General features: G+C 45.4%; 1 long non-coding RNA gene across 1 annotated transcript in view, besides 1 other annotated feature; it reads right to left on the bottom strand.

The window, feature by feature from the left end:
• LOC107985372 (uncharacterized) overlaps positions 1-17,146 on the bottom strand; it is a 32,508-nt gene extending 15,362 nt beyond the window's left edge. Inside the window, exon 1 of the long non-coding RNA XR_001738568.1 lies at positions 17,007-17,146. This is a non-coding gene — a long non-coding RNA (uncharacterized LOC107985372). The remainder of the gene's footprint in view (positions 1-17,006) is intronic.
• Positions 22,494-22,994: an enhancer, noted in NCBI's record as "H3K27ac hESC enhancer chr1:244972422-244972922 (GRCh37/hg19 assembly coordinates)". NCBI's record gives its function as "activates a minimal SCP1, AML or CMV promoter by ChIP-STARR-seq in naive H9 embryonic stem cells {active_cell/tissue: H9 hESC(naive)}" and the evidence as "EXISTENCE:reporter gene assay evidence [ECO:0000049][PMID:30033119]".

Consider the following 23,627-nt stretch of genomic DNA (forward strand, 5'->3'; position numbering starts at 1 on the left):
GCTTGATTTAGCAAGAAAGAGAGTATTCAGATCAATCCAAATTCTTATGTCATTTATAACTATAATCCCTCTGAATATATTATTTCCACAATCCCCAAAACCTTTTTATTTTTGTAGTTAAATTTTTATTTAATAGGATACAATTTTTAGAAAAAAAAACTCTTATTTTTAAAACACTCCAAATTTTTCTTTGCAAAAAGACCTTTGCCTGGTGGTTAAATTTTTTAAGGGAATTGATACTCTTTCACCTCATTAGCAAAAAAAAAAAAAAGGCTTAAATTTATTTAGATCTCTCAAACTTTTTAAGATGATACCTTTTTTATTGCAACACTGTCCCAAGAGTAGACATGTCTTTGACATGGGAGACCTCTGGTGTCTCTATGTTTTCTATATAGAGCTGTACTGTCTGATACCATAGCCACTAGCCATATGTGATTCTGGAGTCTCACTCTGTCACCCAGGATGAAGTACAGTGGTGCCATCTCAGCTCACTGCAACCCCCACCTACCAGGCTCAAGCGATTCTTCCACCCCAGCCTCCTGAGTAGCTGGGACCACAGACTCAGGCCACCACACCGGGCTGTTTTTGTATTTTTGGTAGAGACGGGGTTTCACCACATTGCCCAGGCTTGTCTTGAACTCCTGAACTCAAGTGATCCTCCTGCCTCAGCCTTCCAAAGTTCTGGGATTATAGGCATGAGCCACCGTGCCCAGCCAATATGGGACTCCTTAAATTTAAATGTCTGGGGGCCAGGCACGGCGGCTCACACCTGTAATCCCAACACTTTGGGGGCCTGAGGCAGGAGGGTCACTTGAGTTTAGGAGTTAAAGACAAGCCTGGGCAACATGGCGAAGCCCCACTTCTGGTAAAAATACAAAAATTAGCCGGACATGGTGGTGCATACCTGTAGTCCCAGCTACTCGGGAGGCTGAGGCAGCAGAATTGCTTGAACCCGGGAGATAGAGGTTGCAGTGACCTGAGATCGATCACGCCACTAAATTCCAGCCTGGGCAACAGAGCAAGACTCCGTCTCAAAAAAAAAAAAAATTAAATGGCTGAGGTGGCAGCTCACACCTGTAATCCCAGCACTTTGGGAGGCCTAGGCAGGAGGATTGCTTGAGCTCAGGAGTTCAAGACCAGCCTATGCAACATAGTGAGACCCCTATCTCCACAAAAAAAATTTTTTTTTAATTAGGTGAGTGTGGTGGTGCACACCTGTGGTCCCAGCTACTCCAGGGGCTGAGGTGAGAGGATCACTTGAGCCCGGGAGACTGAGGCTGCAGTGAGCTGTGATCATGCCACTGCACTCCAGCCTGGGCGACACAGCAGGCCCTGTCTCTAAATAAATGAAGTTTAAATGAAATAAAATTAGAGGCTGGGCGCGGTGGCTCACGCCTGTAATCCCAGCACTTTGGGAGGCCGAGGTGGGTGAAGTGCCTGAGGTCGGGAGTTCGAGACCAGCCTGGCCAGCATGGTGAAACCCCGTCTCTACTAAAAATACTAAGATTAGCCGGGCATGGTGGCAGGCACCTATAATCCCAGCTACTCGGGAAGCTGAGGCAGGAGAATCGCTTGAACCCGGCAGGCAGAGGTTGCAGTGAGCCGAGATTGCACCACTGCACTCCAGCCTGGGTGACAGAGCGAGGCTCTGTCTCAAACCGCTCCCCGCCCACCAAAAAAAAAAGAAATAAAATTTAAAATTCAGTTCTTTCAGAATGAAATGAGCACTTCACATTTCAAGTGCTCAGTAGCCACATATGGCTGGTGACCACCATATTAGACGATGCAGCTACAGAATATTTCCATCATTGCAGAAAGTTTTATTAGCACTGAATTCAAGAGTGACTTTTAATTTATGCAACCGTATATGGTTTTACTCCTGGACTTTAATGGAAAATGGAGGCCCACCATAACCTGCAGCAGATCCTATGCCAAGGGGGCAGGAAGTGCCATTCCACTTATGGTGGAAGGAGGTGGTTTGGGGGAGGTGGAGGTGACTCCTGTGCTTACTCCCTGTGAGAAGAATCAACCTCTCAGGGCCTGAGGGGTAAACATTTGAGGAGGGAAGTGAAAGTCCTTTTTTTCTGAACTGTTAAGCACCCCCACCTAGTGCTCGTAATATTATCATTTTATGTACAAATTGGATGCAAAGCCTACCACCCTGTCAAACTACAGATTGCAGTGTGATCAGTTCAACTGCAAAGATTGGCCAGGAAAATCAACTCTCACCGTGGACAGCAAGGAACCAAGTGCATCAGCAGACTCTCCACTCATTCCTCCCCGTCACTGAGAAAGAGCCCAGAGCGGTGTGGGTGACTGACGTGGAACGGAGCTGCTCTGCGCTGAGCGTCGGCACTTGGAGACCTCGATTGAATCTATTCGGCAGGAGAGCTGAATTCAGAGCAGCCCACGGCTCACCCCAGCAATTGTCAGTGCTGGAAAAATCACCACCGTTGGTGTATTCCCGGCCACTCTGCTGGACGGATGGCAGGATTCCCAAGTAGTGAAGGGGAAGGCGGCCCTCCTGCCCTTCCTGCTTCCTCAGGTGGGCCCCGCACCTGTGGGCCGGCCTGCCTGCCTGCTCTGCTTGCGAGTGGCTCAGAAATGCCGGCTCCCAGGCCGTCGGGCTGTTCCCGGGATGAGACCTGCTGCCTACACATGTCACAGCAGTGGGTTCTGTTCAAAAAGTGACATGAGAGAAGAGAAAAGTCTCTGCTCCCTCCCATGACAGTCATGGAGAGTTTCTACCCTCTGTCAGGAAATCCGACTCTGTGTGTGAGTGTGTGTGTGTGTGTGTGTTCACATGCATGATTGACACTTCGCTGCCTCAGCACCTCGCCGATCCTGCATCTTTCCTGTGAGTTCAAAATGAGAATACACCCACATTTCTCTACTGTCAAAAGTTTTAGAACTGTTCAAGTGTGTTGTTAAGTATTCAGAGAAAAGGAGCTTGGTCCTGGGAGAACTGTTGAGTGGCGGGGATTAGCAGAGGGTATTGAAAAAGAAGACTGAGGCGGCTGAAGGCAATGGCAGAGGTGGAGAGACCCTCACGCGTGAGCTGCAGGGTGTATGTGCCTTTGGGGATTCAAAGGAGTGAGACCTGCTTTGACTGTGGAGGAAACTGACCACATATCACGCCTCCACTGAAACGTTAATTAGCAGAGCCTGGGAGAAGAGCTGATATCCTCACTCTGGTAGGGGCTGTCAGCTTGTCAAAAGGAAAGCTCTGCTTAGCTCAGAAGCCCAAACCTCTAACCATGGCTCTAGATGTGTAACATTCGGAATGTCAAGGACTCAGCCAATCCAGATGATTACAACAGCCCTAAATATCTGATGGGAGGACAATTAGGCAAGACAATGATGAAAGGCGTCTGGCTGGCAAAGAGCAAGCAATACTATATTTGAAATGACACAGTCTTACATATAGAAAATCCTAAGGAAGCTACTAAATTATTATTGGAATTAATAAATAGGTTCAGTTGCAGGGCACAAGGTTAATATACAAAAATCAACTGTATTTCTATATACTAGCAATGAACAGTACAAATGTAAACTTAAGAAAACAGTTCTATTTATAATTGCATTGAAAAGAATAAAATACTCAGGAATGAATGTAACAAAATAAATACAAAACTTACACTCTGAAAATTACAACATATTGTTGGAAGAAATCAAAGATGAACTAAATAAATAGACATCCCACATTATGGATGGGAAGAATCAATATTGTTAACATGGCGATACTCCCCACATTAACCTACAGATTCAATATAATTCCTATCAAAATCTCAGCTGAGATTGTGAAGAAAAAAAAAATCCCAGCTGACTTTTTTGACAAGCTGATCTTAGAATTCATACAGAAATGCAAGGGACCCAGAATAGCCAAAACAATCTTGAAAAAGAAGAACAAAGTTGGAAGATTCACACTTCTCAATTTCAAAAGAGTACAGAGTTCAGAAATCAAGACAGTGTGGAATGGACAGAAGGACAGACATACAGATGAATGGAGTTGAATGGAGTTGAATGGAGTGCTCAGAAATAAATCCTCACTTCTATGGTCAATTGTTTTTTGACAAGAGTGCTAAGACCTTTCAATGGGAAAGAATAATCCTTTCAACAAATTGTACAAAGACAACTGGACGTCCTCTTCCTTACACCATACACAAAAAACTCCAAATGGATCATAGGCCTAAATATAAAAGCACAACCTACAAAACTTATAGGAGAAAACACAGGAGAAATCTTCATGCCTTTAGGTTGGGCAAAGCCTTCTTAGCTATGACACCAAAAGCACAAGTGACAAAGAAAACAGTAGATAAATTGGACTTCATCAAAGTTAGAAACTTTTCTGCTTCAAAAGATGCCATCAAGAAAGTGAAAATGGCTGGGCACAGTGGCTCATTACAATGCTCAAGTAATCCCAGCTCTTCCGGAGGTCAAGGCAGGAGGATTGCTTGAGACCAGGAGGTTAAGGCTGCAGTGGGCCATGATGGAGCCACTGCACTCCAGCCTGGGTAACAGAGCAAGACTCTGACTCAAAAATTAAAAATAAAAGACTGGGTGGGGTGACTCATGCCTGTAATGCCAACACTTTGGGAGGCCAAAGTGGGTGGATTGCTGGAGCCCAGGAGTTCAAGACCAGCCTGGGCCACATGGTGAAACCCTATCTCTTCCAAAAAAATACAAAAAGCAGCAGAGCGTGATGTCATGCACCTATGGTCCCAGCTACACTGGAAGCTGAGGCAGGGGAGGATGACTTGAGCCCTGGAGGTCAAGGCTGCGGTGAGCTATGATCGTGACACTGCACTCCAGCCTGGACAACAGAGAGAGACCCTGTCTCAAAAAAAATAAAAAATATATTAAAATAAATTAAAAAGAAAGTGAAAAAGCCAGTCCACAGACTGGGAGAATATATTGGCACATCATATAGCTGATAAAGGACTTGTATCCAAAACATAAAGAACTATTACAACTCAAAAAGAAAAATAATACTACTTTCTGTTCACCAGACCTGAAAAAAAAGAGAAAGACAAATAGCAGAATCTTAAAGTAGTCAAAAATCTGAAGAGACATTTCTCCAAAGAAATATACAAGCGGCCAATAAGCACATGAAAAGACGCGCAGCGGCCACAGTGGTGCACCTGCAATCTCAGCTACTCAGGAAGCTGAGGTGGGAGGATCGCTTGAGCCTGGGAATTTGAGATCAGCCTGGACAACATAATGAGACTCCATCTTAAAAAAAAGATACTGAAAAATGCCCCATTAGGAAAATGCAAATTAAAACCACCATGAGATATCAGTTCACATTCACTCAAAAAGTATAATCAAAAACACAAATAGGCCGGGCGTAGTGGCTCACACCTGTAATCCCAGCACTTTGGGAGGCCGAGGTGGGCAGATCACCTGAGGTCAGGAGTTCGAGACCAGCCTGGCCAACATGGTGAAACCCCTTCTCTACTAAAAATACAAAAATTAGCCGAGCATGGTGGCGGGCGCCTGTAATCCCAGCTATTCAGGAGGCTGAGAGAGGAGAATCTCTTGAACCCTGGAAGGGGAGGTTGCAGTGAACCGAGATGGTGCCACTGTACTCCAGCCTGGTCAACAGAATGAGACACCATCTTGATAAAAAAAATTAAAAAAGAAAAAATTGTGATAACCTAAAAGGATTTGGCACTCAGATTGTTTAGCATCTGTCTAAATTCTTGTTCCACTTACGTAACCAAGACTGGATACTGTCCATGATGAATTATCAGTGTGTTTACACAAGAAAGGACACAGAATTCCACTCAACTGATCCATACTCAAAGAGAAGACCTTGGCCTTGCATTCAGAGATCAGCAAAAACAATATTCACTTTATGTTTTAGGTTAGAATATTTGATATTCTAACCTAATATGGCTAATAGGTTTTAATATCTAATGGCTAATTTGATATTCTAACCTAATAAGGCTGGTCTTGAACTCCAGACCTCAGGTTATCTGCCTGCCTTGGCCTCCCAAAGTACTGGATTACAGGCGTGAGCCACGGCACCCAGCCAGGATCTCTTTTAAAGTAAGTACAACTACAATAGAAGCCCTCTTCTCAATGTGACCAGCATCGATGATTGGTGAGTGAATGAAGTCAAAGTGGGAATTTAAACAGACAGAGTCTCACTATGTTGCCCAGGCTGGTCTTGAACTCCTGGGCTCCAGCAATCTCCTACCTCAGCTTCCCAAAGTGCTGGGATTATAAGCATGAGCCACCACGTCTGGCCAGGGAAGGATTTCTTAAGGTGTAAATAATACAACTATTAAAAAAAAAGATTAATAGATATGACAATATTAAAATTAATAATATCTATTCACCAAAGACATCTTTTTTTTTTTTTTTTTTTTTTTTTGAGACGGAGTCTCGCTCTGTCGCCCAGGCTGGAGTGCAGTGGCGCCATCTTGGCTCACTGCAAGCTCCGCCTCCCGGGTTCACGCCATTCTCCTGCCTCAGCCTCCCAAGTAGCTGGGACTACAGGCGCCCGCCACCGCGCCCGGCTAATTTTTTGTATTTTTAGTAGAGACGGGGTTTCACCATGTTGGCCAGGATGGTCTCGATTTCCTGACCTCGTGATCCACCCGCCTCTGCCTCCCAAAGTGCTGGGATTACAGGCGTGAGCCACCGTGCCTGGCCGGTCACTTTCAGATAATCTTGTAAAGCTAAGAAGGTTGTTTTTTTTGTATTTGTTTTTGTTTTTGTTTTTGTTTTTGTTTTTTGAGACAGAGTCTTGCTCTGTTGTCCAGGCTGGAGTGCAGCGGCACGATCTTGGCCCACTGCAAGCTCCGCCTCCCGGGTTCAAGCGATTCTCCTGCCTCAGCCTTCCCAGTAGTTGGGATTTCAGGCGCCTGCCACCGCACCCATCTGATTTTTGTATTTTTAGTAGAGACGGGGTTTCACCGTGTTAGCCAGGCTGGTCTCGATCTCCTGGCCTCAGGTGACTCCCCACCTCAGCCTCCCAAAGTGCTGGGATTACAGGCATGAGCCACTGCACCCGGCCTATATTATCTTCACAACAAATTTTAAAACAAACAAGTTCTTTTCAAAACAGCAATAAATGCTTACAGTTCATTTTCACTTTCTCCAACGTGTACCTTTATCTTTGAGCCCCAAGAGGGGTATATATGACTATGTACAACCTAAAACAACACAGCAGAAACCATGGCTACTTCTAAGATCAGTACGAGCTCCAAGACGTGACTGATTCAATACAATCAACTCAAGTGGGGAAGATGCAACAAAACACGATAGCATTTACTCATGGTGTTGAGCAGCGAGAGATGGGAACTGGGGAGGCAGGGGAGAAGCCAGGGAGCCACCTGGAGGTCTGGTTTCTGGTGACTAGCCAGTGACAAAGTCAGATTTCATCGAGGGGTAGCAACAGCTGGAGCCATTGAGGACATGACAGCCTTAGAGACAAACTGTGTGACAATTTCCCCCTCTTCCCTCCTTCTTCCCAACTCAGTTCACCCTCCGCCCTCCACATGAATGAGCAAGACAGGAGGGAGACAGAATGAGAACGTGACTGTTCCTCTTCCGTAGCCTCCTCTCACACACCCTGCCCTCGCCCTCCTCCCGTCCCTCCACACCCAACCCCTTCCCCTGTGGTGCCCCTTCTTTTCCCCGACCCTCTGTTGCTGTCACTCCAATCCACCCACATAGCTCCCTTCCCGCGATGATGACAACTTCTTGTATCCAATGGGCAACACTGTGATGCCCCCACCTGACCACCCTTCAAAGGAGGATTTGTCGTCCCAGCTGCTTGAGAACCATGGAACTCTGGGTTCTGCCAGCCCAAGGTGAAAATTCCCCAAGGGAAGGATGGATGCTGGACACGGTCACCATATGTCCACCAGTTAGAATCAACTCCTAGAGATGGGATTTCCGGTCAAATGGTTAGATATGCATGGAAATCGGACTTTAGTTTCAGCATTTGGCCCCAGTCTGCTAACTGGGCTTGGTTTAGTCTTGACCTTTGGAAGGCCAAAGAGCCTACTTCCATGTTATTTATGTTTATGGCCTCCACGAACTGTGACTGATCAATGATTCTGTGATCACTCTTCTCTCTTACTAGCATAAAAATGTGGGCCAGGCACGGTGACTCATTCCTGTAATCCCATCACTTTGGGAGGCCGAGATGGGTGGATCACCTGAGGTCAGGAGTTAAAGATCAGCCTGACCAACTTGGTGAAACCCCGTCTCTACTAAAAATACAAACATTAGCTGGGCATGGTGGCACATGCCTGTAATCCCAGCTACTCAGGAGGCTGAGACAAGAGAATTGCTTGAACCTGGGAGGCAGAGGTTGCAGTGAGCCAAGATCGCACCACTGCACTCCAGGCTGGGTGACAGAGCGAGACTCCATCTCAAAAAAAATAAAAAATTTTAAAAAGTCAGTAATACTCAAAGCATGCCATTTTGATTTAGTATTAATATTTCAATATTCACTTCCTTTTTTTTTTCTTTTTTTGAGACAGGGTCTCACTCTGTTACCCAGACTGGAGCGCAATGAGGCCATCATAGCCCACTGCAACCTCAACTTCCTTAGCTCAAGGGATTCTTCTGCCTCAGCCTCCCAAGTAGCTGGGACTATGGGCACCTGCCATCACACCTGGCTAATTTTTAAATTTTTTTTGTAAAGACAGTGTCTTGCTATGTTCCCCAGGCTGGTCTCAAACTCCCGGCCTCAAGCAATCCTCTCACCTTGGCCTCTCAAAGTGCTGGGATTACAGACGTGCGCTGCATGATCCCCGTGAGCCACTGCACCCGGCCCTCAATATTCACTTTCAGATATTCACACCTTGTCTAGGGTGGCCTACAGCCACTGCCCATAAATGCAGAAGTATAAAGGTCTAGCCATCTCAGCCCAACTCAAGAAGACTCTGAAGGGCCATATTTGTGGCAGAGCTCCTCGGGGGTTGGCCAAGGCTGTCATTGGCCAACATCACAGCTTAGCTTCTCCCTCTGCCCTCTCCTGTTTCTGCCTCCTCTCTTCTATAGGTGCTGATCGCAAGGGCACTCCTTAATAAACATCCTGCCCATCAAACTCCATCTCAGAGCCTGCAGCACAGCCCTTACTATCTGAAAAGTCATTTGGCCTTGATGCTAAGATGCCTTCCACAGGTGTCCAGCATTTTGGCTTCCCTGGGCCACATTGGAAGAAGAAGAATTGTCTTGAGCCACACATAAAATACACTAATGCTGCTGGGTGCAGTGGCTCACGCATAATCCCAGCACTTTGGGAGGCCGAGGCAGGTGGATCACCTGAGGTCAGGAGTTCAAGACCAGCCTGGCCAACATGGAGAAACCCTGTCTCTACTAAAAAATAAATATGAAAATTAGCTGGGCATGGTGGTACATGCCTGTAGTCCCAGCTACTCAGGAGGCTGAGGTGGGAAGATTGCTGGAACCTGGGAGGCGGAGGCTAGAGTGAGCCGAGATCACCCCACTCTACTCCAGACTGGGCGACAGAGTGAGACTCTGTCTCCAAAAAAAAAAAAAAAAAGGTCCATGCATAATTATAATTTTCAAGATATCCGCCACCATAGAGAAGCAAAAATGTCCTCACATTCAAAGGGTTAGACAGTGCTCTTTTTTTTTTTTTTTTTTTTGAGATGGAGTCTTGCTCTGTCCCCAGGCTGGAGTGCAGTGGTGCAATCTCAGCTCACTGCAACCTCCCCCTCCCGCGTTCAAGTGATTCTCCTGCCTCAGCCTCCCGAGTAGCTGGGACTACAGGCGTGTGCCACCACACTCAGCTAATTTTTGTATTTTTAGTAGAGACGGGGTTTCACCATGTTGGCCAGCATGGTCTCGATCTCTTAACCACGTGATCCACCCGCCTCAGCCTCCCAAAGTTCTGGGATTACAGACACGAGCCACCGCGCCTGGCCTAGACATTGCTCTTAGACTGTAGAGATGAGGTTTCACCATGTTGGCCAGGCTGGTCTTGAACTCCTGCTCATGTGATCCACCTGCCTTGGCCTCCCAAAGTTCTGGGATTACAGGCATAAGTCACTGCACCTGGTCCTCTTCACCTTTTAATCCTCATTCTTCTCTTTGGACTGTTTCCTGCTGTAGGATACACTTACTTAAAATCAGCTGGCTGGCCACAGTGGTGCACACCTGTAGTCCCAGCTACCAGGATGGCCGAGGCAGGAGGATCTGTTGAGCCGAGGAGTTCAAGGCTGTAGTGCGCTGTGGTCACACCTGTGAATACCCACTGCACTCCAGCATGGGCAACATAGCGAGACCCTGTCTCCAAAAAATAAATAAATTAGCTGATCACTCCTTGGAGCATGTAGTGAATTAGGAATTCACCAATGGAAGAAACACGTGTGAGTATACGATGGCGACACCTGGTGGTAGGATATGCAATAACATCGTGAACCTCCCTTAATGGTGGATTCCTGGCTTATTGTTGGAATAAAATGTAATTACATGGAAATTGTAAGAGCCATTCTAAAAGGTTAGCAACAACAAGAAAAAGGTTGTCTGCATGAACTTGCATGTGTGTGTGTCTATTCTTGTGCATTAAGGACAGACAATAATCCAAGACACAGTTAATGAAGATGAGAGCCTGATCAAGAACCTGTCGTTCACTCTGCTGCTTACTGTTATGCTGACCTTGTGCAAGACACTTCACTGCTTTGGGCTTTGGCTTTCTCATCTTTAGAGTAGGAAGATTTAAGAATCCCCACTTAGTTCAATAAATAGTATAAGTGAAAACTGTTTTGTGAATTGCGTGAATATGTTATACTACGTTAATTATTATACTATTAGCTATTATTATAATAAAGATCATCGTTGGCAGGACACAGTGGCTCATCCCTGTAATACCAGCACTTTGGGAGGCCAAGGCAGCCGGATCAGTTGAGGTCAAGAGTTCGAGACCAGCCTGGCCAACATGATGAAACCCTGTCTCTACTAAAAATACAAAAATTAGCCAGGCATGGTGGTGCGAGCCTGTAATCCCAGCTACTCGGAGGCTGAGGCAGGAGAATCATTTGAACCCAGGAGGCCGAGGTTGCAGTGAGCCGAGATCGCGCCACTGCACTCCAGCCTGGATGACAGAGCAAGACTCCATCTCAAAAAAAAAAAAAAAAGAAAACTGTTACAAAGTTAGCTCTCTGCTACAAATTTCCTGTCAAGGAATGTTAATATTGCTTGAAGATGAGAGCGCATTAGTCTGGACTTTGAACCTTGTAATAGTCCCTTTTACTCAGGGATAACTGCTTAAAACTGCAACGTGTCCAATCTATGAGCGTCAAAACAGCAACCGGGTGCAGGGTTCTCAGCCAGGGGCAATTTTGTCCCCAGGGGACATTTAGAAATGTCTGGAGATATTTTTGGTTGTCACGACTAGGGGGAAGAGTGCTACTGGCATCTAGTGAGTAGAGTCCAGGGACGCTGCTACACATCCTACAAGGCACAGACAGCACCCCCACCACAAAGAATTATCCGGCCCCACATGCCAAAAGTGCTGAGGTTGAGAAACTGGTCTAGCGTAACAGAAGGGAGAAAGTAGACCTTTTTCCCTACTGTCCTAACCACCATTAACAGCAACCACAAAGATGGGATGGTGGGTCATCAATGTGAAATTCTCCAACATATATGTGCAAAAGAGCTCAAGAAATGTATTAAGTAGCATCATACAATGCCATTGTTATCTACTATGTGTAAACCGTCTCAACATGGGCACAACTGGTCTTGTTTTTCCCTCCTCTTTTTACAAAGAAAATGAACCTGACCTGAATAGAACTTTTGCTCTATTCAGACATCAAAATAAAAACTAGCGGTAACTATTAAATGTGTAGTTACTTGTGGAATTAAGACTAAGAGTTAAAAGGGAGTGAGTATACTTTGTAATGACCACATGCTCTGATAGTGTATAGTAGTGCCATTTTTTCACTTTTCATTTAATATTTTTCAGACAAGGTCTCACTTTGTCACCAAGGCTGGAGTGCAGTGGCACAATCACAGTTCACTGTAGCCTCAACCTTCCAGGCTCAAACAATCCTCCCACCTCAGCCTCCCAAGTAGCTGGGACTACAAGTGCATGCCACCATGCCCGGCAATTTTTTTTTTAAGATGGAATGCCATTATGTTATCCAGCTGGTCTCAAATTCCTGCACTCAAGCAGTCCACCCACCTCAGCCTCCCAAAGTCCTGGGATTACATGTGTAAGCCACTGCACCCAGCTGAGTACTGCCATTTTTAAAAATGGGACAAGAACATTTACAAATACATTTAAAGGCTGGGTGTGGTGGCTCACACCTGTAATCCCAGCACTTTGGGAGGCCGAGGTGGGTGGATCACCTTGAAGTCAGGAGTTTGAGATCAGCCTAGCCAGCATGGTGAAACCATGTCTCTACTAAAAATCCAAAAATTAACCGGTGTGGTGGTGCATGCCTGTAATCCCAGCTACTCGGGAGGCTGAGGTGGGAGGATCGCTTGAACCCAGGAGACAGAGGTTGCGGTGAGCCGAGATGGCACCACTGCACTCCAGCCTGGGCGACAGAGCGAGACCCCCTCTCAAAAAAAACAAAAAACAAAAAAACAAGCACACACATTTAAAAATGTGTGAGCAAGCACACACATTTAAAAATGTGTGAGCAAGCACACAGAAAAAAAGCTTTTTAAAAAACCTTTTTAGTAATTATATTAGTGATGGTAATATTAGTATTGCAGCTCCGACACTGTTATGAGTAATGCGGACACATCAAATGCGCAAGATGAGGTATTCTGATTCCATTCTAGATTTTGGTTTTGAGAATCATATTTTCAACGTGGAAGAATGTGTATACAGGATTCTCAAGATGTAGAGGTTAGGTAAAATTCCTTGCTGTTCTGAATCTGAATGTAAAGTATCAGTGTGAATGCATGAGGTATTTTCTATTCTATTCTCTTCATGTGTCTATATATGCAAAATCTTCACTGAGAAGGCCCAAAAGCAAAGCAACGACCAGCACAGTAGCAGCCAGCATCTTTATGCCCAGAGTACCGTCTTCAAATACCATTTCCCACTAAAAGAAACAAATGCTTCATGAAGAAATGACTGATTCCCAGTTTGGGGCAGAAAATATACATTTTGACCTTTGTCATATCATCTAGTCACATCAGATAGCAACAAAACTACCGAAGACTACTAGGGCCATGTAAGAAGGATTCAGGAGCCAGTTGGAAAAGGCATCCACTTACTGAAGATGACACAATTTATGCTTCAATAATTCCAAGGGACTGAAAATGATCAAATATGTTTAAATCCCTAAGTTCTTAATTATATTCAAACATTTTTAATCATCACATTTGGAGGATGCTAGGGAACCAATTCTCTTCCCGGGAGAGGAGGGTGGGGGACCCATTCCTTATCTTAGAAAACTTACGAGAGAAAAGAATCTAGTACTTTTCCCAACTTTCCTACATGGATTGTACCACTGGGTAACCTAATGGTAGATGAGAGGAGGCATCTCTTTATGAAAGTATTGCAACTAATAGACCGGCGGGCGCGTTGGCTCAAGCTTGTAATCCCAGCACTTTGGGAGGCTGAGGTGGGTGGATCACGAGGTCAGGAGATCGAAACCATCCTAGCCAACATGGTGAAACCCCGTCTCTACTAAAAATACAAAAATTAGCCAGGTTTGGTGGCACACACCTGTAGTCCCAGGTACTCGGGAGGCTGAGGCAGGAGAATCGCTTGAACCCAGGAGTTGGAGGTGCAGTGAGCTGAGATCATGCCACTGCAATCCAGCCTAGCAACAGAGCGAGACTCCATCTCAAAAAAAAAAAAAAAAAAAAAGGTATTGCAACTAACAAATGAAAAAAAAAGCGGTAGAATTAGAGTATTACAATTTTGTAATTGTCAGTGGATTAATGGCTTTAGGCATCAGGCATCCATGACTATTAACATAGCAACAGAGTTGACCTGCGTTTTGTGCTTCCTGATTCAAGATCCAGTAGTGACTTAGTCTTGCCATAGAGTCTGAACCTAAGTCTCATCATACCTTGGGATCCAGCTGCTACATCGTAGGAAATCCAGAACACATTGAATTCCACCGAGAATACTTCATCAGCAACATCCAGATTGTGGGAAATTTCACAGGTCAAAGGATTCAGGTTTTTCAACAGATAAATTGTCAGAATAAGAAAGAGAGGGGAAACTTGTAGCTTCGGAGACTTAAAATCATAACTAATTTTCAAAAAATAGAGATGGGGTCTTGTTATGGTGCTCAGGCTGGTCTCCCACCTCTGCCTCAGCCTCCCAAAGTGTTGAGATTACAGGCATGAGCCACCACGCCCAGCCACGACTTTTTTAACTGGACAACCATAGAGTCCCAGGTGTTCACTATAAAGAAACACGACCAAGTGATTGTCTTCGTGGTTTCTTGGCGGCGGTGGTGGTTGGGACGTGATAGGGGTGGGGCCCGTGGATGGTCTTCTCAGTGGCTTGCAAAGTTCTATTCCTTGACCTGGATGGTAGTTACAAGGGTGTTTGCCTTCATTACGCTATACATTCATTTTTGTATGATTTTCTGTATTTATGTTTTATTTTCCAAAAAAAAAAAGCTTTAAAAGAGTATAAAGAAAGTAGATGGCAGAAATTTGTGGAATCTTCCCCCAGCAACATAAAAACGCGGTGGGTTTTTGTAACTTGGTTTTTACACTTTACAATTAATATTGTAATGAGAAATACTCGTGTGGACCACTAGGGCGCACAATTTGTTGCCCGCAGCATCTGCGGCACTGGCACTGATGAAAGGGGGATGCTAAATGCTTCAGTAACGCCACCTGAGTCTCGGGATGAAGCAACATTATTCATCGCCCTTTGATCATGAGCTACATATGTGAGTGCCAATGCTGGCGAATCGTATTTGGAAAGTCGGGTCCAACATGTGATGTGTACATACAGGGTATACACTGAAAATACCGTAGTTTTATCCTCTTTTAAGATAAGCTTCAATTTATTTGAGTTATTAGAACAAAGCCTCATAAACCACGGTAAAAAGAACCTTAAAACTTTTTTTTTTATTTTTGAGGAAGTCTTGCTCTGTTGCCCAGGCTGGAGTGCAATGGCACAATCTTGGCTCACTGCAAGCTCCATCTCCTGGGTTCAAGCGATTCTCCTGCCTCAGCCTCCTGAGTAGCTGGGATTACAGGTGCCCGCCACCACGTCCAGCTGATTTTTGTATTTTTAGTAGAGACAGGGGTTTCACCATGTTGGTCAGGCTGGTCTCGAACCCCTGACTTCAAGTGATCTGCCTGCCTTGGCCTCCCAAAGTGCTAGGATTACAGGCATGAGCCACAGTGCTCAGCCCAAAAACCTCAAGACTTAGTGTGTGGAGAATGGAGGTGAAAAGTTTTTGTGGTGGTCTCCTAATGAGACGATAGCCCCCTGGCGGAGGGAGAGAAACACGTGAGAGCTATTTGGAGCCTCCCTGAAAGGTGTCACTGGGCTATGGATGGACTGAGAACCACACAGCGACGGGCCAGCCTTCGAGGGCCAACACAGAGTGAGAGACGGCCTCTGCAGGGCCCAGGCTGGGGAGGGGTGGTGAGGCCAGTCACGACTAGTAATCTAAGAGCCGTCTTTCCTTACCTGTGGTGTGGAAAGGGCTGCGGGTCACAGAATCTTAGTGATACGAGCTTAGGCGAGGCTCAACGGCCCTACCTCTCAGGTGAGAAAGCAGCTCTCCTGTAATCGTTATCTTTTCTCAAAGGGGAAGAACAACTTCTTCCTGTTAATAAATCACAGACCTCAGATGCTTTGTATTGCTGAGGAAACAAAACGTTTATGAATTGTTCACAGGCTGAGAAAATAAGATGCTTTGAGTTTTTGGTTTTTTCTACAAGGCTGCAATAAATAACACAGCAGTAAATCCTAACCTTTAGCTCTGATTGGTATTATTTCATTTTGGTGCCTTTCCAGCCGGCCCAAAAGTGTGATGCTGTGATACACACAGTATGTGTGTATGTGTGTATACACATGACTATTTTGTGAGATTTCGCGTACTAGTTCATTAGTGGCGCCCTGGAATCACAGATCCTTCCTGCTGCGGTGATAGCATGTGGGTGGTGCCGAGGTGGACTGCTGCTTGATGGTGAAGAAAGAAAAGAGGACAGGAGGACCCGCCAGGACCACATGTGGAGAGCTGCAGCGAAAGAATCCTCGCTCGGTGGACACCATGGCTTTTTGCTAAGCCCTGGTTCTCTCTATGGACCCCATGCCTCATCTCCAGAGCCAAAACCCAGCCTTTCTCATTCAAGGACACTCCCCAGAGCTTTGGGAACACATTTCATTCTGGCTCTGTTAAGTACCCCCATAGGGTCCCGAAAGTCCAGGCTGCTTCTTGCCCCTGCCGCCTCAGGTCCCAGAGGCCCACTGCTGCGTCCAGGACGCCTCCTCCACCACGTCCTCTCCCAAAGCTTATGCAGCAGTTAAGCAAAGGGGCCCTGGCCTCTACAGCACCGAGGCAGCCTCCTAGTTCAGCCACTCTCATGTGAGTGTGGACAAATTATTTAACCTCCCTAAGCCTCCCTTCTCTCTTCCATTAAATATGGATGATAAGGATAATAAATATTAACCTCATAAGGTTGTTGTGAGAGTTAAATGAGAAAAGATATATAAAACTTAGGCCGGGTGTGGTGGCTCACGCTTGTAATCCCAGCCCTTGGGGAGTCTGAGGCGGGCAGATCACTGAGGTCGGGAGTTCGAGACCAGCCCAACCATGGTGAAACCCCGTCTCTACTAAAAATACAAAATTAGCCAGGAGTGGTGGCTCATGCCTGTAATCCCAGCTACTAGAGGGGCTGAGGCAAGAGAATCTTTTGAACCTGGGAGGGGGAGGTTGCAGTGAGCCGAGATTGCATTATTGCACTGCAGCCTGGACAACAAGAGCGAAACTCCATCTCAAAAAAAAAAAAAAAAAGATATATAAAACTTAGTGTCATTCCTGGCCTGTAAATGGTAAGTAAAATGTAGCTCTCACCTTTACTCCAGGTTTCAGAAATGCTGTTCCTCTCAACAGAGAGGTGGTGGATTCTCCACAAATGCTGAGGAATGAATGGATGGATGAGAGAATGCAGTGACCACTTCCCATGGATGGATGAGAGAATGCAGTGACCACTTCCCAATGATGAAGATTATGGCAAAAATTGATTTTAAACTCCTACAAGATAGAATCCATGATTTAATTCTTTTTATTTTTTTCTTTAAGACAGAGTCTCACTCATTGCCCAGGCTGGAGTGCAGTGGCGTGGTTACAACTCACGGCACCCTCAACCTCCCCGGGCTCAGGTGATCTTCCCACATCAGCCTCCTGAGTAGCTGGGACTACAGGTGCATGCCATCACACTTAGCTAATTTTTCTATTTTTTTTTTAAGAGATGGCGTTTTGCCATGTTGCCCAGGCTGGTCTCCAACTCTTGGGCTCAAGCAATCCTCCTGCCTTGGCCTCCCAAAGTGTACAGTCATGTGTCACTTAAGAATGGAGATACATTCTGGAAAATGCGTCATTCAGCGATTTCGTAGTTGTGTGAACATCACAGAGTGTACTTACACACACCTAGATGGTACAGCCTCCTACTACACACCTAGTCTGTATAGTGTAGCCTATTGCTCCTAGGCTACAAACCCGTACAGCATGTTACTTTACCGAATACTGTAGGCAATCGTAACACAATGGTAAGTATCTGTGTATCTAAATATATCTGAACATAGAGAAGGTACAGTAAAAATACAGTATTATAATCTTATGGGATTCTAAGATTATAATCTTATAATAATATAATCTTGTATATTTGGTCCATCCTTGACAGGAACATTGCTATGTGGCATATGACTGTATAGCTCTTCGAACCAAAATAAAGCAAAAAGATGACTCCCAAAAAATAGATTATGAGGCCGCACGTGGTGGCTCACGCCTGTAATCCCAACACTTTGGGAGGCCAAGGTGGGCAGATCACTTGAGGTCAGGAGTTCAAGACCAACCTGGCCAACACAGCGAAACCCCATCTCTACCAAAAATACAAAAATTAGCCGGGCATAGTTGGTGCTCGCCTGTAATCCCAGTGACTCGGGAGGCTGAGGCAGGAGAACTGCTTGAACCCAGGAGGTGGAGGTTGCAGTGAGACAAGATCGTGCCGCTGCACTCCAGCCTGGGCAACAGGGCGAGACTCCATCTCCAAACAAAACAAAACAAAATTATGAAGAGACTACGCTTAGATTAGGGACTGGGATTTAACACAGGTTCAATCTTCCTAGAGTACATCTTTAATAAAGTATACACAGGGAACAGTGCCCAAATCATAAGTGTACAGCTAGATGACCTTTTACAAAGTGAGCACGCATCTGCGATCAACACCCACAGAAAGAACATTCCCGGCGCCCAGCACTGTGGCCCTCCCGTTCACTGACCCCGCCTTCCAACTTCTGGGGCATAGATTTTTGTTTTTGAATTTCGGACTTGTTTTTGTTTTTGTTTTTTCAGGTTTTCTTTGTTTTGTTTTGTTTTGTTTTCCTGAGACAGAGTCTCATTCTGTCACCCAGGCTGGAGTGCAATGGTGTAATCTTGGCTCACTGCAACCTCTGCCTCCCAGATTCAAGCGATTCTCCTGCCTCCTGGGCAGAGGTAGAAAAAAAGTTTCAAAAATCATGAATTCATATTAATATTCAAATTAGGACATTTACAATCTAGGCACTAAGGATAGGCATTGCTAGTAGGTGTCATTGCTTTTTTTTTTTTTCTTAAGATGAAGTCTCACTCTGTCGCCCAGGCTGGAGTGCAATGGCGCAATCTCGGCTCACTGCAACCTCCTGGCCTCCCAGGATCAAGCGATTCTCCTGCCTCAGCCTCCCAAGTAGCTGGGATGACAGGCGCCCGCCACCATGCCCGGCTAATTTTTGTGTTTTTAGTAGAGTTGGGGTTTCACCATGTTAGCCAGGCTGGTCTCCAACTCCTAACCTCAAGGGATCCGCCTGCCACAACCTCCCAAAGTGCTGGGATTACAGGCGTAAGCCACCTCGCCCGGCCTGTTTTTTAACTTTGGATAAATGGTAACCTACAGTGTACACATTTTTCTGTCTCCTTTCTTTTCATTCAACCTTCTATTTCTGAGATTCACCCAAGTTGTCCCATTAAGTTCTAGACTTAAATATTATATGTGTTGTAGGGTTATTATGGACAAATAACACAGCAGAATGGAAAAGAACATGAAAGTGAGACCCCTGCAACCCATTAATGTGTGTTTCATTTAATGACGGTAACTCTACCGAAAAAGAACAAGAAGCGATGACACCTGGCCGGGCGCGGTGGCTCACACCTGTAATCTCAGCACTTTGGGAGGTTAAGGCGAGCAGATCACTTGAGGTCAGGAGTTCAAGACCAGCCTGGCCAACATGGTGAAACTCCATCTCTACCAAAAAATACGAAAATTAGCCGGGAGTGGTGGAGGGCAGCTGTAATCCCAGCTACTCGGGAGGCAGAGGCAAGAGAATCTCTTGAACCCGGGAGGCCAGGAGTTTGCAGTGAGCTGAGATTGCGCCACAGCACTCCAGCCTGGGTGACAGAGTGAGACTCCATCTCGAGAAAAAAAAAAAAGCAATGACACCTACTAGCAATGACTATTCTTAGTGCCTAGATTGTAAATATCCTAATTTGAATATAAATATGAATTCATGATTTTTGAAACTTTTTTCTACCTCTGCCCACTGAAAGAGCCTAGACGAAATGGCTCTCAGTAGCAGTGAGCTCTCCTGGGGCCTGGTTCTTGGGTTCCAAATACTATATCCACTAGGAGAGGCCGGGTGTGGTGGCTCACGCCTGTAATCCCAGCACTGCAGGAGGCTGAGGTGGGCAGATCACGAAGTCAGGAGTTTGAGACCAACCTGGCCAACATGGTGAAACCCCGTCTCTACTAAAGATACAAAAAATTGGCGAGGCATGGTGGTGCAGGCCTGTAATCCCAGCTACTTGGGAGACTGAGGCAGGAGAATCACTTGAATGCGGGAGGCGGAGGTTGCAGTGAGCCGAGATCACACTCCAGCCTGGGTGACCGGGTGAGACTCCATCTCAAAAAAAAAAAAAAAAGGAAAAAAGAAAAGAAAATGTACAAGATGTTCCAGGGATAGCCTTTGTGTCAGAAAGTAAGAGAGCTTGGGTCCATAAGGAGCCACTGGGGGGAAACAACAAGTTTTTAAAATTTAAATAAATAGAAAAAAAAAGGAAGGAAGGAAACTATTAAAGACCTCTTGAATCTTATCAAAGAAGGAAGGAAACTATTAAAGACCTCTTGAGTCTTATCAAAGATACAGGAACTAATTGGATGAAGTAAAAAATGGAATAATTTCAGCATCAAAAAGAATAATCACTATAATGGATGGAAAACAACAAAATTATAAAATTTATATAAAATATACATAAAAATTTATATTAAATTTATATACAATGTAATGATATATCATTATATCAAGTCCTCTCCACCCCCATGAAAAATCCCTCATTGTTGTCTTTGGAGGTTGCTGAGGGACCAACACATTATGCTGAAAATTGGCAAATGAAAGGAGTGAGTCAAGCATTTATCCTGTGTCTTCCTATATACTCTGCATCTTTCTTTGTTTTCTTTTCTTTTCTTTCTAAGTTCTTTTCTTTCTTTCTTCTTTCTTTTTCTTTCTTTCTTCTTTTTCTTTCTCTCCCTTGCTTGCTCCCCTTCCTTCCTTCCTCCCTTCCTTCCTTCTTTCTCTCTTTTTCTTTCTTTCCTCTTTTTAGAGAGATGGGGTCTTATTATGTTGCCCAGGCTGGTCTCAAGCTCCTGGCTTCAAGTGATTCTCCCACCTCAGCCTCCAAAACACTGGGATTACAGGCATGAGCCACATGCCCAGGAGTCTGTGTTTCAAAGTAACCAAAGAGTTAATGAAGGAAAGGTCTTTATTTTTATTTACTTATTTTTTTTGAGACGGAGTCTCACTTTGTTGCCCAGGCTGGAGTGCAATGGCGCGATCTTGGCTCACTGGAACCTCTGCCTCCCGGGTTCACGCGATTCTCCTGCCTCAGCTTCCCGAGTAGCTGGGATTACAGGCATGCACCGCCATGCCCAGCTAATTTTGTATTTTTAGTACAGACGAGATTTCTCCATGTTGGTCAGGCTGATCTTGAACTCCTGACCTCAGGTGATCTACCCGCCTCAGCCTCCCAAAGTGCTGGGGTTACAGGCATGAGCCACCATGCCCAGCCAGGAAAGTTCTTTTTAAATGAAAATCCAGTTAGTAAATCCAGAAGTAATGGTAGCAACTAATGAAATAATGTATTTAGGCAACAATCATCAACAGCTACTAAAACATCAGGCAAAAGGTTATAGAGAAACTGTAATGGGGGATCAGACTGACACCACCTCAACCCACTGACCAGTTTTTGAGAGTGAGGAACAGGAAGTAGATGGCACCTCTATGACATGTGCTCACCAACAAAATTAGATCTGAATGGAATCAAGCTTCTAGCGCTGCCTACCAGTTTATGGGAAATATGGACAATAGAGGAAAAACACAATGACACAACAGAAATCAGTCAGCTGAATCCGACGTAGGGAAATTCTACAGGCATGACCTGGTTTCTTCAAAAATAAATGACATGGGGCAAGGCATGGTGGCTCACGCCTGTAATCTCAGCACTTTGGGAGGCGAGGTGGGCGAATCACCTGAGGTCAGGAGTTCGAGACCAGTCTAGCCAACATGGTGAAACCCCATCTCTACTAAAAATACAAAAATTAGCCAGGCGTGATGGGCACCTGTAATTCCAGCTACTCAGGAGGCTGAGGCAGGAGAATCACTTGAACCCGGGAGATGGAGGTTGCAGTGAGCCGAGATTGTGCCACTGCTCTCCAGCCTGGACAACAGAGCAAGACTCTGTCTCAAAAATAAATAAATAAATAAATGACATTGGGGAATGGCAGGTAAGAGGAGTGATTAAAATAGGCTTAAAAGGCTGGGTGCAGTGGCTCGCACCTGTAATCCCAGCACTTTGGGAGGCTGAGGTGGGTGGATCACCTGAGGTCAGGAGTTGGAGACCAGCCTGGCCAACATGGTAAAACCCCATCTCTACTAAAAATACAAAAATCAGCCGGGTATGGTAGCACATGCCTATAATCCCAGCTACTCAGGAGGCTGAGGAAGGAGAATCACTTGAACCCAGGAGGCAGAGGTTGCAGTGAGCCGAGATCGTGCCACTGCACTCCAACCTGGGCAACAGAGACTTCATCTCAAATTAAAATAAAATAAAATAGGCTTAAAAGAGGCTGCAACCAAAGCCACTTTGTGGCACTTATCTGGGTCCTAATTTGAATGAAGCAATTATAAAAAGACATTTTAGAGATGTACAGGGAAATGTGAACATATTGGTAATTTTATTAGATATAATAATAACATCGAAGTTATTTCTCTCTCTCTCTCTTTTTTTTTTTGAGACAGAGCCTTGCTCTTGTTGCCCAGGCTGGAGTGCAATGGCATGATCTCTGCTCACTGCAACCTCTGCCTGCTGGGTTCAAGCGATTCTCCTGCCTCAGCCTCCTGAGTAGCTGGGATTACAGGTGCACACCACCACGCCCGGCTAATTTTTTTTTTTTTTTTTTTTTTTGAGACGGAGTCTCGGTCTGTCGCCCCAGCTGGAGTGCAGTGGCGCGATCTCGGCTCACTGCAAGCTCCTCCTCCCAGGTTCACACCATTCTCCTGCCTCAGCCTCCCGAGTAGCTAGGACTACAGGCGCCAGCTACCACGCCTGTCTAATTTTCTGTATTTTTAGTAAAGACGGGGTTTCACCTTGTTAGCCAGGATGGTCTCGATCTCCTGACCTCATGATCCGGCTGCCTCGGCCTCCCAAAGTGCTGGGATTACAGACGTGAGCCACCGCACCCGGCCTCATTTTTGTATTTTTAGTAGAGACGGGGTTTCACCATGTTGGTCAGGCTGGTCTCGAACTCCTGACCTCATCCACCCGCCTTGGCCTCCCAAAGTGCTGGGATTACAGGCGTCAGCCACCACGCCTGGCCTCTCTCTCTCTTTTTAAATTATTTTTTTGTAGAGACAGGATCTCATCTCTCTATGTTGGCCAGGCTGGTCTCAAACTCGTGGCCTCAGGCAACCCTCCCTTCTCAGCCTCGCAAAGCGCTGGGATTTGGGATTACAGGCAGGAGCAACAGTGCCCAGACTTAAGTTATTGTTTTTCATGCCCATATATCTCAGAGATAGCTACTAAACTATTTATGGTAAAGTAATACAATGTATATTATTTGCTTTAAAATATTCTAGCAAAAAAAAGAGTGGAGGGGAACAGATGAAATAAGGTGAGCCAAACGTTGGGTGTTGAGGCTGGATCAAGAATGTTTGAGCACTCACTATGTTATTTCCTTTATCAGGGGCATTTTTGAAATTTTCCAAAATAAAAAAAAAATTAAATTTTATCCCACATTTAAATGTATGCAACTGGCGTAAACTACATTAAAATCTCAGGAATTTTGACGAACGGAAATGAGGCCAGAGTAGGAGGAACACAGCAGAGAGGGAGGTTTGGTGGCAAAGACGATGGATGCGCTGAGTTTGAAAGATGTCAAGTCGAAGCGCC

This window comes from Homo sapiens, chromosome 1, assembly GCF_000001405.40.
Source record: "Homo sapiens chromosome 1, GRCh38.p14 Primary Assembly".
NCBI classification, from domain to species: domain Eukaryota; kingdom Metazoa; phylum Chordata; class Mammalia; order Primates; family Hominidae; genus Homo; species Homo sapiens.